The sequence below is a fragment of the Homo sapiens genome, chromosome 5 (assembly GCF_000001405.40).
Source record: "Homo sapiens chromosome 5, GRCh38.p14 Primary Assembly".
Taxonomy (NCBI): Eukaryota; Metazoa; Chordata; class Mammalia; order Primates; family Hominidae; genus Homo; species Homo sapiens.
In genome coordinates, this window is record NC_000005.10 from 119,889,361 (window position 1) to 119,903,094 (window position 13,734).

A 13,734-nucleotide genomic window follows, 5' to 3' on the forward strand; every position below is an offset into this window, starting at 1 on the left:
TCGTTGTTAAATTTAAATTACATCTCTTTATTCCCCTACCCTCATCCCCCTCAGCCCTTGGCAATTATAGTTCTACTCTCTGCTTCTATGAGTGGACTTTTTAAGACTGCTCACATAAGTGAGATCCCATGACATTTATCTTTATGTGCTTGGCTTATTTCACTTAGCAAAATGTCCTCCAGGTTGATCCATGTCACAAACGACAGGATGTTCTTCTTTTTTATGAGATGGAGTCTCGTTCTGTAGCCCAGGCTGGAGTACAGTGGCGCGATCTCGGCTCACTGCAACCTCCGCCTCCCGGGTTCACGCCATTGTCCTGCCTCAGCCTGCCGAGTAGCTGGGACTACAGACATCCGTCACCACGCCTGGCTAATTTTTTGTATTTTTAGTAGAGACGGGGTTTCACCGTGTTAGCCAGGATGGTCTCGATCTCCTGACCTCGTGATCCACCCGCCTCAGCCTCCCAAAGTGCTGGGATTACAGGCGTGAGCCACCGCACCCGACCGATGTTCTTTTTTAAGACTGAATAGTGTTCTGTTGTGTGCGTAGACATGTGTGTGTATGTATCCACATTTCTTTATCCATTCATCTGTTGAGGAAATCATTAATGAATTTAAATGATAAAATAGTTGTACATTGGATCACTCCTTTCTTAAAGATTTTAGAATTGCAGAATATAACATGGATCTAGTAAGTGCTATCATATTCCTGATTTGGCTAAGAGTGTGTTTCTGGAATTTGAAAAAAACCCCAACAACCCCGGTGTTACTTTAGTAATGGCAGGTGTCATTTATTGAGCTCTATGTGTTAAGCATTGTGCTGAGCACTTCACATGAATATTATTCATTTAATGTTTATTACAATTCCATGAAGGGAAAAAACTATTACTATCCTATTTTTGTGAGTGAAGAAACCGAGGCCCCGAAAGGCTAGGTAACTTGCCTAATGTTACACAATAACCAAATGGTAGATCACAGCCGAATTTTCAGTTTTCTGTTTCTCCAAAGCCTGTGTTCTTACATTGAGTCTATTGCCTTTCTGTCTGTGTGATTTCCAGGCTTTTTCAGAAAACTTGAAAATATGAATTTGCTGACAGCTCTTAAGAAAAGTTTGGAACTTTGCACACATCCATCAGATTTTATAATAAGTGTCCTCTTAATGTTTCTAATTATAACTCATCTCACAATTGTGCTCAATAATATATTTTCATTGAATTTTGTGCCCTTCACAGATTTATGAGTTCATATCAGCTTCCTCAATTGCTGCATAGCTAAGCAATACTAATTTTATTCCTTTAATTTGACAAATGCGTAATGTGGAAATCAGCAATGGTGTGGGGATCCTTAATTTACCATATTCCCTCTGTTCATTCTTTTAAGTCTCCAACTCTTACATTTTCATTGCATTTAATATGCATCATAAAAGTGTCACTTTGGCTAGTTCATTACATATGCTTTTTGATTGCAGTTAGAGCCTTTGGAGCTGCTATTAGGCACAGTGGAAATAATTAAGAGCTTCGGTCCATGCTGATTTTAGAACAAATAACTGCAGTCAGTTAGGTTCTTAAATAACTTAATTACTGTAAATCAGTGTAGTAATATATACTCTATAGCAATGGAGTGAGTGGATAACAACTGTCCACTCAGCACTCCGTGGGAAGGAATAAATTAATGTCTTTTACAGATCAGAGCTGATAAACATAAACTTTTGATGTGTCTAAAATTTTAAAAAGAAATATAGTAGTGTTATTGGAAAACATTAAAGGAAATTGTTAAAATTCATTTTTGATCATTCAAAGTTGCTAGATAATATTGATAATATTGGTGAACTGTAAGCGACAAATAGCTTCTATAATCATAAAAGTACCTTGAGGTTTTTTATATTCATTTATTTAAAGCATTTCTTTTTCAAAAACCAGGCATATAACAAATTTAGACAAAGGAAACTGCAAGCATTTCTACCGAATAAACAAAATTTTAAGAATAGATTGGGAGATACATTTGCATACATATAAATGGTAAATGAACAATAGCCATAAAATACAAACTGTTCCTACAAAATGATAAAAAAGCATTAATGATACCATGGAAAATGGAAAATAAATATAAAAACACAATTCATACAAAAGAAAATTACCAGTAAATTTATACTCAGTCTCACTGTGTTCAGGGAAATGAAAATTAAAGTAACAGTGAGCTCTTGTTTTCATCTCCTTCAGATTGGCAGATAGTAAAATTAGTGATAATTCTTTCTGCTGGTGTAAATGTTAGGGGAAGTGTACACTCACATAATTGTAGAAACATGAATTGTTATAGACTTTAAACAAGCAATTCAGCAGGATCTGTAAAACTTAAATATATACCTAATCTTCAACCCAGTGATACAACCCTTGGGAATCTATCCTAAATAAGTTATCTCTCTACCATTTAAAGATGTGTCTAGTGCTATGTAGCTGGTGATAGCAACTAATTAAAAATGAAATTAATGCCAATTAAGGAGGAGATGACTAAATAAATTGCAGTACCTCAATTACACAGAATGTTAGGCATCCATTAGAAGGAGTGGGTTAGAGTTTTACTTGTAGACTAGGATAAACTTTTACCATGCTTTGTTATGTAGGAAGTGCAAGTTGCGGAAAAGTAAGCAATGTCAAAAAGCCCTTTGATTTTATTAGATATGCTTGTAAAATATGAAAATAAACACATAGAATTATTAGCATTAGTTATCAATATGTGTTGGTCAGGCAAAGAAAAGAAGGGAGAGGCCAAAAATAAGACTATAAGACATAGAAACTTCAAAAATTAAAAAAAGTACATTATATACAATTCAATGTATGAAAATGCAAAAGTATAACCATATGTGTGTAAATGTGTATATACATGTGAAAAGGGGGAGAGTTTTAAAATTATTGTCACTGTTATGGACTGAATTTTATACTCCCAAAATTCATACAATGAAGCCCTAATCCTTGATGTGACTGTGGCTGAAAATAGAATCTTTAAAAAGGTTACTAAGGTGAAATAAGGTCACAGGGTAAGGCCTGAATCCAATATGACTAGTAAGAAGAGAGACACCAGGAATATGTGTGTACAGGGAAAAGACCACGTGATGATACAGAGAGAAGGTGGCCATGCAAGTCAAGGAGAAAGGCCTCAGGAGAAGCCAAACCTCTGGACCCCTTGATCTTAGACTTCCAGCCTCCAGAACTGTGAGAAATAAGTTGATGTTGGTTAAGCCACCTGATTTGCAGTATTTTGTTATGGCAGTCCTAGCAAACTAATATTGTTATCAAAATAATGTGAGTCACCTCAGCATTTCAGGTGACTTGGTACTTTTTTCCTTAGATGTGTGCACGCTATATGATCTCTTTTTCAACAAGAATAAATTATTTACAGTCATCATTTTAAAAATATTTTAAGTGATATAAAAAGAAAATGAATGGAAGGTAATAGGCACTGGAAATGAAAGGTCATGTAAGTTTAGGACCAGGTTCAGCACAACGGAAAACTAAAGTCATGTATCTTATTGTAGCAGAGAGGAGCAGTGACACCCCAAGGAAATATATAAATAGGTGTACAAGAGTGAGATGACAGGACAACTGGTCAGAGAGAAGCAGAGATGAAGACTCAATAACCCTGGAGGAAATAAAATAACTTGTTGACTCCTTGTGGATTGGCAATGCCTTATTGCTATTTTTAGATTTTCATAAGATTTCTCATATATTTCCAAGACATTCCTTTTCTGATCCTTCTGATAACTTGAGTTGACTCTCGATGCCTTGGATTCCAGTGTCTTTTAGAAAAATATTCAAGACTTATCTATGTTCAGTGGCAGAGAAATCTGATTATCATTGCTCAAAAAGTTTGGTAGACTTGAGAACCTGGATTGTAGAGCATCGAAAGTGTTTCCAAACCAAGGCCTCTCAGTTCTCTGAAATCTTCATATTAAAGATCTGTACCTTCACTACCACATGGCCACTGTAGGAATCTATCATTATCACCTTCTATTTGGCCTTGAGCTTGTGGTACAACCAAGGAGGTAGTGACCATCTTAATTGAAAGATAAAGTCAATTTTTATTTTAAAAAAGATTTACTTGAGAAAAGATTTCAGAGCTGATGTTTTCTGTCAAATTTGCAAAATAACTACATTCAGCATATTCAGGGTTTCTTTGATAGACTACAATGAATCAATCAAAGCCTCAGTGGCTTGCTGTCACTGTTATCTAGTTTGTCTCTTAACATCTCTCCTGGTTCCTGCCTCTTTATCACTAATATATCTTTGCAGTCTCTACTAATCTGAAGCAACTTCCTCAAGGTTTTTCCTGCCAAAGACTCTAAATGGCTCATAGTCTTTGGTGTCACATAATGGGTTTGTCATTTTGTGTTTATCTTATCCATTAGTTCTCCCAACAACTGCTGATGAAATTGTGTCACACTTTGCTATTCCCTTCACATGCCATTAACATTTTGCCTCTACGTATTTTCGTGTGTTGTTTAATCCACAGAAGTCTCTTTCCCTCCTATCCTTTATATACATAAATTATTCCCTGCTTTAGGGTCAGCTTTATGTCTTTTTCTCGCCCTGTAGCATTTTCTGATCACTCAACATCATATTTAAGCCACTCTCCCTTTAATGTTCTCAAGTACTCAGTGTTTATTCACACAGTACAGTCAGATATTTGGTTGTGAAAATAATAGAATCCCATTTATAAGACTGTTGGCGGGGTGGGGGAAACACCTTTAAGTCTTGATAAAGGGTCCCCATGCAGACCTATAGTCGCTATTTATTGGTCTCAAAACCACAGCTTTTGACATATTTGAGTAGTCACACAAATAGGCTACCAAAATCCTCCAATTCTGTGCTAGAAAGAAGGGAAATGATGATATTCTGACTGCAAACATCTCTTATATTAGATCCTTAAGATGGCTTTGTTATCATATTTTCTTTTTAACAAGACTGTGCCCTCAGGGACATATCATGATTGCATATTACATTGGAATCCATAAATACTTAAAATGTCCCTTTTTATTTGACCGTCTTAGGGGTAAGAGTGCATGTAGAGTTAATTACCTCCCTTCCCTGAAACCCAGCTCTTAAATATAAAATCTGAAAAACAGGGAGGGATTTCTATCCTAATAAAACTAGATAACTGAATCTTAGAGTTTGTGACAAAATTTTGCCAGATACAGAAACATGCCTCAAATTGAAAAGGAGACTGAAAACTGATTATAAGGCTTCAGTTTTCTAGTACACACATGTTTCTCTGAATATAACTGATAGTGTCCTGAAGGGAGAAGGAAACTGGGAATATGTTAGACAGCTTTGAAGATATATGTGAAAACAAATGAACAAATATAAATGATCCCGTATGTCTGAACTTGCTAACTGCAGGACTTTCCTGTGAGCTATGGGACCACCTACAGATTAGGCAAAGATACATGTAAGTCATATATGACTGTGTATATGAGTCTATGTGCATAGAGCCTATGCAATAACCAAGAGTACACACCTGAAACAGTTATTGACTATTTAGTACAAACCATGTGCACACATGCATAAATATATTTAACAAAACCCCAGAAAACAATTTTGTCTTCTGTGTATGATAGGGGGTGTGTGTGTATGTGTGTGTGTGCACACACACGTGTGTATAGTGTTGTTGAAGTAGGGAGGGAGGAGGCAACTGGGGAGGCAAGAGTTGAGGAATTGCTGACTACCTCTTTAAAAAACATACAATAGAAGTCCATCACTGCTGAGGTGGTCTGGGAATCAGCATTACGAGTATAGATTCTGGTCTCTTTACAAAAAAGTAGTGAACCCATTTCTGAAATATGTTTTATTTGAGAAACAGTGTCTTTTGTGGTTCTGATATAAAGTGTGACTTAAGCTTACAGCTATGATGTTAAATTCCATGGAATTTTTCCACAGGAGCTTCTTGAGGAAAGCATGTCCCTCAAGAATTTTTTTGCTCAAGAGCCCAAAATGGCCCCTAGTTCCCCTTAATGGCAAATGCCCCTCAATAAGCTTATGCGATAGAAGCAGACAGACATGCACTTGTCAAGGCCCACTTTGAGGTACAAAATTTAGGCTGCTTTGAGGAACAGTTACTGAAGCTAATGGACATCTTATGAGTTTGCTCAAGACCACGTAGAAACTTTTTAGACTTAGCAGAACTCTTGCCTTTCTTTCAATTAAAATGAGGTATAGTTCAGCGGTCTTGTTTGAAGATGTTTGTAGGTAATATATATTTACATTATATTTTGCACATATATAGTGTATATATTTTAATATTGAACATATATAACCTGTGCTAGCCGGCTGGGTGTGGTGGCTCAAGCCTGTAATCCCAGCACTTTGGGAGGCCGAGGCAGGCAGATAACGAAGTCGAGATCAAGACCATCCTGGCCAACATGGTGAAACCCCATCTCTACTAAAAATACAAAAATTGGCAGGGCATGGTGGCGTGTGTCTGTAATCCCAGCTACTTGGGAGGCTGAGGCAGGAGAATAGCTCCGCCTCCGGGAGGCGGAGGTTGCAGTGAGCCCAGATCGCGCCACTGCACTCTAGCCGAACAATTTAAATTGCCTTACCATTTCTTCTTTTTGAATTTCCTGCCTCCTTCCCCAGACTTCTTTTGCCTCTTTTAATATAAATCAGTATATAATCAGGCATAAGAACCACTGGCTTAGATATTCTAAGACAGTGATACCTTTCTGTTGGTTAGGTTGAAGAATAACGGAGATTGTTTTGTGCCAATATGGTGCTTACATATATCACCTTTTAACAAGATCCAGAAGAATGTGTGAAGTGAATGTCCAGCTATTCATTTTTAAGATGGGATCTAAAGTCTGTGATTCCAAACTCTCTCATCACACTCACTCAGACTTTCAAAAAAAAAAAAAGCTCCATTTATTTTTCAAACAACATAAAGCTTTCAGCAGTACATGAAATAAAACACAACAGATTTTTACTCAAAGGTTGCAGATGCTGTGTATATTTTTTTAGGTGTTCTTTTTTATTTCAATTTGTAAAAGCTCAACAGTAACTTAAAATCATTTCTTTTGTAAGTATCTTACCATATGGTGATTGGAAGAAGATAAGTTTGTCATAATTTAAATGTATTTATTTATTCATTCAATGATATGTTTTAAGCGCTATGTATCATCCAGGTTTAGGAACAAGTACTAAGGATAGAGTGATAAACACGACAGGCATATAGTTTATTGGTGTATAGAGCTACTGAACAAGAAATTATGAATGCAATGAGAAATGAGTACTATAAACGTCCCATGGAAACATAGAGGAGTGGATTATGACCTGATCTGGATTTCCAGGGAGAGCTCGTTTGAGTAGTAGTTTGATACTTGTATTAGTTTCCTATTGCTGCTGTGACAAATTCCCACAAACTCAGTGTCTTAAAACAAAATAAATCTGTTAATCTTATAGTTCTGGAGGTCAGAGTGTTCAAAATAGGGCTTAGGGGGCTAAAATCAAAGTATCAGCAGAGCTGCATTCATTTCTGAAGGCTCTAGGGAAGAGAATGCATTTTCTTGCCTTTCCTAGTGTCTAGAGAGTTCTTGTGATTCCTTGGCTCCTTTTCCCCTTCTGTCTTCAAAGACAGCAGTGGCTGCTTGAGTCTGTCTCACACTGCATCACTCTGACTCTGTCTCTTCCGCCTTTCTGTTTTACATTTATAGGATCCTGGTGATTACACTGGGCTCGCCTGTATAATCCAGGATAAACTCCTTATCTTAATGTCAGCTGATTAGCAACCTTCATTCCTTTTGCTGTGTAACATAACATATTCACAGCTTCTAGGGATTAGGAAGGACATGGACATCTTTGAGGTGGGGGTACTGTCATTTTTTTTTTTTTTCCCAAATACTTGAAGAATGAATAGGGATTATTTGGACAAAAGAACATGAAGAGGATTTTAGCTTGAGAGAACAATATGCATGAAGGTCCTGAAGTGAGAGGGACCATGCCACACACAATGAGAACCCCTGTGGCAAAGCCTGACAGAATAAGGAGGTACATTTTCAGTGAGTTCTACACACATCTTGCAATATCAGTAATCTCCATTCAGCTCACAGTTTCTTAGCAGGTGCTCTCTGTCATACCTTGCAAAGTCTTTTCCTAAACATGAGAAGCTAACTTTTTTGGTCAGTGATTCAAGGGGAAACCTAAGCAGTTTCCTGGGGTGCTCCTTCTTTGAATTTCTCCTTCCTTTCTGGTGCCCAGCTCTTCAAATTTTAGCTACTTCAGAAGCTATAGGCATGAGGATACTCCGCAAAAGAGGTACATGCCCTAATGTTTGGAACCTGTGAATATATGACGTTACGTGGCAAAAGATAGTCTGCAAATATAATTAAGGTGGCAGAGTTTACATAGGGAGATGATCTTGCATTGTACAGGTGTATCCAATCTAATCATACAAGCCCTTAAAAACATAGCACTTTCTCCACTTAATCAGAAAGATGTAACAGAAGGGGAAATCAGAGAGATTTGAATGTGAGAAGTACTTGACATGCCCTTGCAAGCTTTGAAGATGGAAAGGCAATATGATAAGGAATGCTTGTGGCCTTGAGATGAAAGAAGCTCCTAGCTGACAGCCAGCAAGGAAACAGAGACCTTAGCTCTTTAATCTCAAGGAACTAAATTTTACCAAAAACCTGAATGGGTTTGGAAGTGGATTCTTCCTAGAGCCTACAGAAAGTAACGTTGCCCTGCCAACACTTTGGTTTTGGTCTTATGAGACCGTAAGTGGAGAATTGGCTGATTCATGCAGTACCCAGATTTCTGATTCATGGAAACTGTGATACAATAAATGTGTATTGTTTTAAGCCACTAAACTTGTGTGAATTTGTTACAGCAGCAATAGAAAATTAATACAACACTCATAAATTCCAATATCTTTTCCCAGAAAGATTACTGCTTTGTTTAGGCTCCACTTCTCTGTGCCATGGTTTGAAAAGTGCCCCCAGGAAGAATGCGGCTTTTGCCTCATGTTTTTCTTTTCTCTCAAGGATTATAGCTTCATATTACCATTGCCTAATGTCTGAATATAGATACTTCATATACTTTGTTCAGTTTTGTAGTTGTTTATAGCAGGATGGTAAGTCTAATTTCACTTACTCCATCATGTCTGAAACTATGAATTCAAATAGATTTCTGATTCATGGTATGGTATTTATTTTTGTTTGTTCTTTGTTTTGTTTCTGAGAGCTTGAGAGCTTTTAGAAACATGTCATTTTGTTTTTTTTTGTTTTGTTTTGTTTTACCAGAGGTTTGAAATTTCATGATAACATGAGTTAGTGTGGGTCTTTTCCCATTTGTTGTGCTGTACAAATGCCCATCAACTTAGAAACAAGTTTTTAAATTCTGGGCAATTTATTTAAACTATTTCTTTGACAGTTTCCTTCTCTCTGTACACTCTTCTATTTTTCTTGAATATATGTTGCAGTTGGTCACTATTGTTCAAATCATATAAATCCTTATTGAGTTTTTGTTCTTCTATCAATTAAAAAGAGATAGGTGTTAAAATATTCAACTTTATGGATTTCCCTATTTCTTCCTTTAGTTCTGGAAGATGTTTCTTTGAGTATTTTGAAGCTCACTCATTAAGTTCATATACATATAGAAATGTTACTATTAAGAATTAATATTGCCTATTAAGAAATTTCCCTCTTTATCTCTAGTAATACTCCTCGTCTTGAAGCCTACTTTATCTAGACTCATGTGCTTTAGATGAGTTTATTTACTATTTTTTGTAGTGCAGGCTGGCTGATGATGAATTATCTTAGCCTTAGTTTATTTAAAAATGTCTTTGTTTTGTACTTCTTGAAAGATAGTGTTATGGGCTGACAGTTTTTTTTCTTTTAGCATATTAAAGGTATTATTCCATTGTATTTGGTCCTTCATTATTTTTTGATGAGATGCCAGTCATCATTTATATCATTGAGTCCCTAGTAGTGGGTGTGTGGGTTTTTTTTTCTTGCTGTTTGTTTTTAAGATTTCTCTTCTTTGGTTTTCAGCATTTGACTATGATATCCCTAGGTATGTGTTTCTCTGTACTTGTCTTATTGCTAAGCTTCTTCCATTCATGTGTTTATATTTTCTTCAAATACCTTTTCTGCCTCATTCTCTCTCTCACCTCCTTTCGGCATTTCCGTCATGCACATACTAGACTTTAATATTGTTCCAGAGTTCACTGAAATTCTGTTTATTTCAATACTTTTTGTCTCTTTCCTTCAAATTGGATAACTTCAGTTGCTTGAACTTCAAATTTATTGATGTTTTCTATTGCCCTACATAATCTTGTGTTAAACTTCTTTAGCAAAATTTACATCCTCAATACAGTACTTGTGATTTCTAGAATTTTTATTTTGCTTATTTTCATAATTTCCATTTCTCTGCTGAGATTTCTGATATGTTAATCTTTATTACTATACTTTTCCTGTAAGCCTTTGAACATATAGAATTTTTGATGTTTTGAAATTTTTCCCTGATAATTTCATTATCTGTGTCATCTCATATTCCCTTCTTATTGATTTTTTTCTTAACGATAGATCACACATTGATTTTCTAGGGAAAGTCTCCAGGAAAGTGGAAGTGTTTACCAAGCCCCTCTAAGTTGGGTAACTCCAAACCCTGTCTCCCTTGTGGTGAGTAACATCTGGAACCGACACTGAATTCTTTTAGCTGATGTTTAGTTGATGTTACCCACGCAATCTTCTTTCAATCTTCCATGTGGAGATGTAATCCTGGGAATTAGTCAAGATTTGAATTGAGTTATATGTAGACTTAGTTCTCTGCTGTGCTTACCTCCTTTTGAATGTTCTTCTCATCAATTTTCAGTCTGGGATTCATCTTCTAGCACCTCAAGCTCAATTCTAACTTCTGCATCATGAGCACTGCTGAATGTATTTCAAATTAAAGCCATGTAATCATTCATTTCACTCAGGATGCTTCACTTTCTTCAAAGGTCAAATCCCTCTAGGATCTCTCAGCTTTTGGCTACTCTCTTTTTTATTTTTATTTATTTTTAAAACAAATTTGGGAAAGGGATAGTAGAGTACTAAATGCTGACTTTCACAATAACATTTTTAATTATGATCTAAATGAGTGTCACTAATGTGTTAAAAGTCTTTTGTATTTTAATTCCTACAACATTGTAGTTGCTTATTCTAAAAGTTTATTCATACATTCTTTGGGTTTCTCCATAGAAAAATATTATATGTGAATAACTATCATTTATTTCATCCTTTTTTGTTTTTTAAATGTCTTTTAACAATCTTAATGATTTTAAATGTTTGATCTTAATGCATTGCTAAGAACAGTCACATAAAAGTAGTGATAGTGCATAAATATTGTTTTTGATGTTAAAAGAAACAATTTAAATAGTTCAACATTGTGTTGCTGTAGGTTTTTATAGATATTCTTTAAGCAAGCTTTCTTTTTTATCATAATGTTAATTATATTTTGTTATCTATAGAATTAATTACTATTTTTCTACTTTTAATCTTGTAAACTGGCAAATTACATTAATTGCTTGCTTAATGTTAAACCAATTTTGCATTCTTGGGAAAATCCCAATTAGTTCACAATATAGTATCTTTTTCATTCATTGCTAAATTAGGTTTGTTATTATATTTTTAGAATTTTTGCATCAGTGTTCCTGAGTGATTGTTCTTTGTAATTTTCTTTTTATGTTCTCTTTATTAAGCTTTGTTCTCAAGGTTATACTTGCTCCTTACAATGAGCTGGAGACTGCTTGCTTTATTTCTATACATTGTCATAGTGTGTATAAAACTGCCATTATTTGGTTTTGGCTTGCATTCACCAGTAAAATTGTCTGGGAAAAAATTAAACCACTAGTTCATTATTTCTTAATGTTTATAGGATTTTTGTGGCTTCTCTTTATCTTTGACAAACTTGTTATTTCATCTAAATTTTTGTGTTTATGGACATAAAGTAATCATATCCTCTTATCTGCTTAATATCTGCTGCACTGATTTTTATGTATAGTTTTCTTTTTTATTTCTAATACTGTTCGTTTGTGCCTTGTCTTTTTTTACTATGGTAAGTTTAGGCATCAGTTAATTAAATTTATTATACAGCTCAAAAGACTAGTTATACATTTCTTATGTTTATCATTTCATTTCTTTTTGGGGGGAGGTCTATTCTTTGTTGTGTGTTAATCTCTTAACTTAAATGCCTAATGTGTAATTTTGAATGTCTCTTATTTCCTATTACAAGCATTTGAAATATACATTTTTTACAAATATCTGTGATAGCTGTATTCCATGAATTTTTTACGTACTATTTTTATTATAACTCACTTCTAAAATATTTAGAATTTTTAATTATCATTTTTCTGTGATTCGTAAATTTTAAAAAGAGTGTTATCTTTGAAATTTTGATTTTTAAATTGATTTTCTTATGAACAGAAAACAACAACAACAAATTGTCTTTATGATACAAATCTTTCCAATTTCTTGAGACTTGCTTCATGACTCAGTGGTCAGTTTTCATAATACTCTATGCATCCTTGAAAATAATGGGTATTTTCCATTTGTTATATGCCATTACTTCACATTTACATCAAGTTGTTTGTCCTCTAATTACTGATTTTGTATTGTTCTAGATCTATAAAAGTTAAAGAAAAATGTATATGAAAATCTAAGCACATTGGGTGATTTTTCAATTCCTTTTTAAAAAGTATTTCTCAGTTTGATTCATATATTTTGGAGCTAATTTGGATGTATCCAAGTTTAGAAATGGTAAATCTTCCTGACCTATATTTTCTTTACAGATGCTTTTTGACTTAAAGTCTATATATTCTTATATTAATAATGGCATACATGGTTGATTTTGAGTAGCAATTTCCCAATATATATCCTGTATTTTTCTTTATTTTTATATTTAAATAGAAGGCAATCATCAGAATTTTTTTTGGTTGCTATTTTTGCATAGGTATATATTTACTTCAGTCAGGTAAACTTGTCTTTACTTACATTTATTATTATCACTCTTATTTTTTATTTGTTTCTATCATCTTATTTCATACTTTCTATTCATTCTACCTTTACTAAATTTGCTTTTCTATTTTTCTTTTTGTCTTTTGTTTGTATGTGTGTGTTTGTTTTAAACTTTCAAACCTCTGTTCTTATAGAAGCTATATTCTCAATGGGCTTTTTATTTATAGTTAACCTAGACATTTTAATATCCATTCTTTGTGAAATTAAATACTTTAAGCCTAAAGCTGTTGGAACTTTAAACTATTGAGCCTTGAGAAAAATGTGACTATGTGGCCTGAGTCACATAGCATAAGCTCCAGCTTCTGCTTCTACAATTATAGATTAATTCCCTTTCTTATTCTTGTACTGTGGATGATTAGGAAAGACTGAACTGTGCCAGGGGTAAGAGCCCCCTTGAGTCCACTACCCCTCCTTATGGAATGTTAAAGCAATCTTCCTTGGAATGTAACAAACTGTAACTGATCAAATTGCTGTAATGTATGTATTGGCCTTGTGTGGAAAATGCTGCAACCCTGTTAAGTTTCTCTCTCTTTGCTTATATAAGCGAAGCCTTAACTTCCCTCCTTAGGAGCACTGACTACATTCGTTTGGAGTCTATGTTATCCAGGTAGCCATGATCACATTTTGTAATCTAATAAACTCTATAATTAATCATATTTTCTAATTTTCATTATTTAAGGCTGACATTTTATT

The 13,734-nt window shown here is 34.7% G+C and overlaps 1 long non-coding RNA gene across 2 annotated transcripts in view; it reads left to right on the plus strand.

The window, feature by feature from the left end:
* Positions 1 to 13,734, plus strand: part of LOC105379144 (uncharacterized) — a 142,695-nt gene that overhangs the window by 54,100 nt on the left and 74,861 nt on the right. The window contains exon 1 of one of the 2 annotated variants that reach the window (XR_948707.2): positions 10,588 to 10,665. The exons of the other annotated variant lie outside the window; for it this stretch is intronic. This is a non-coding gene — a long non-coding RNA (uncharacterized LOC105379144). Of the gene's footprint in view, positions 1 to 10,587; positions 10,666 to 13,734 lie in introns of those variants that run through there. 2 annotated transcript variants of the gene reach the window in all.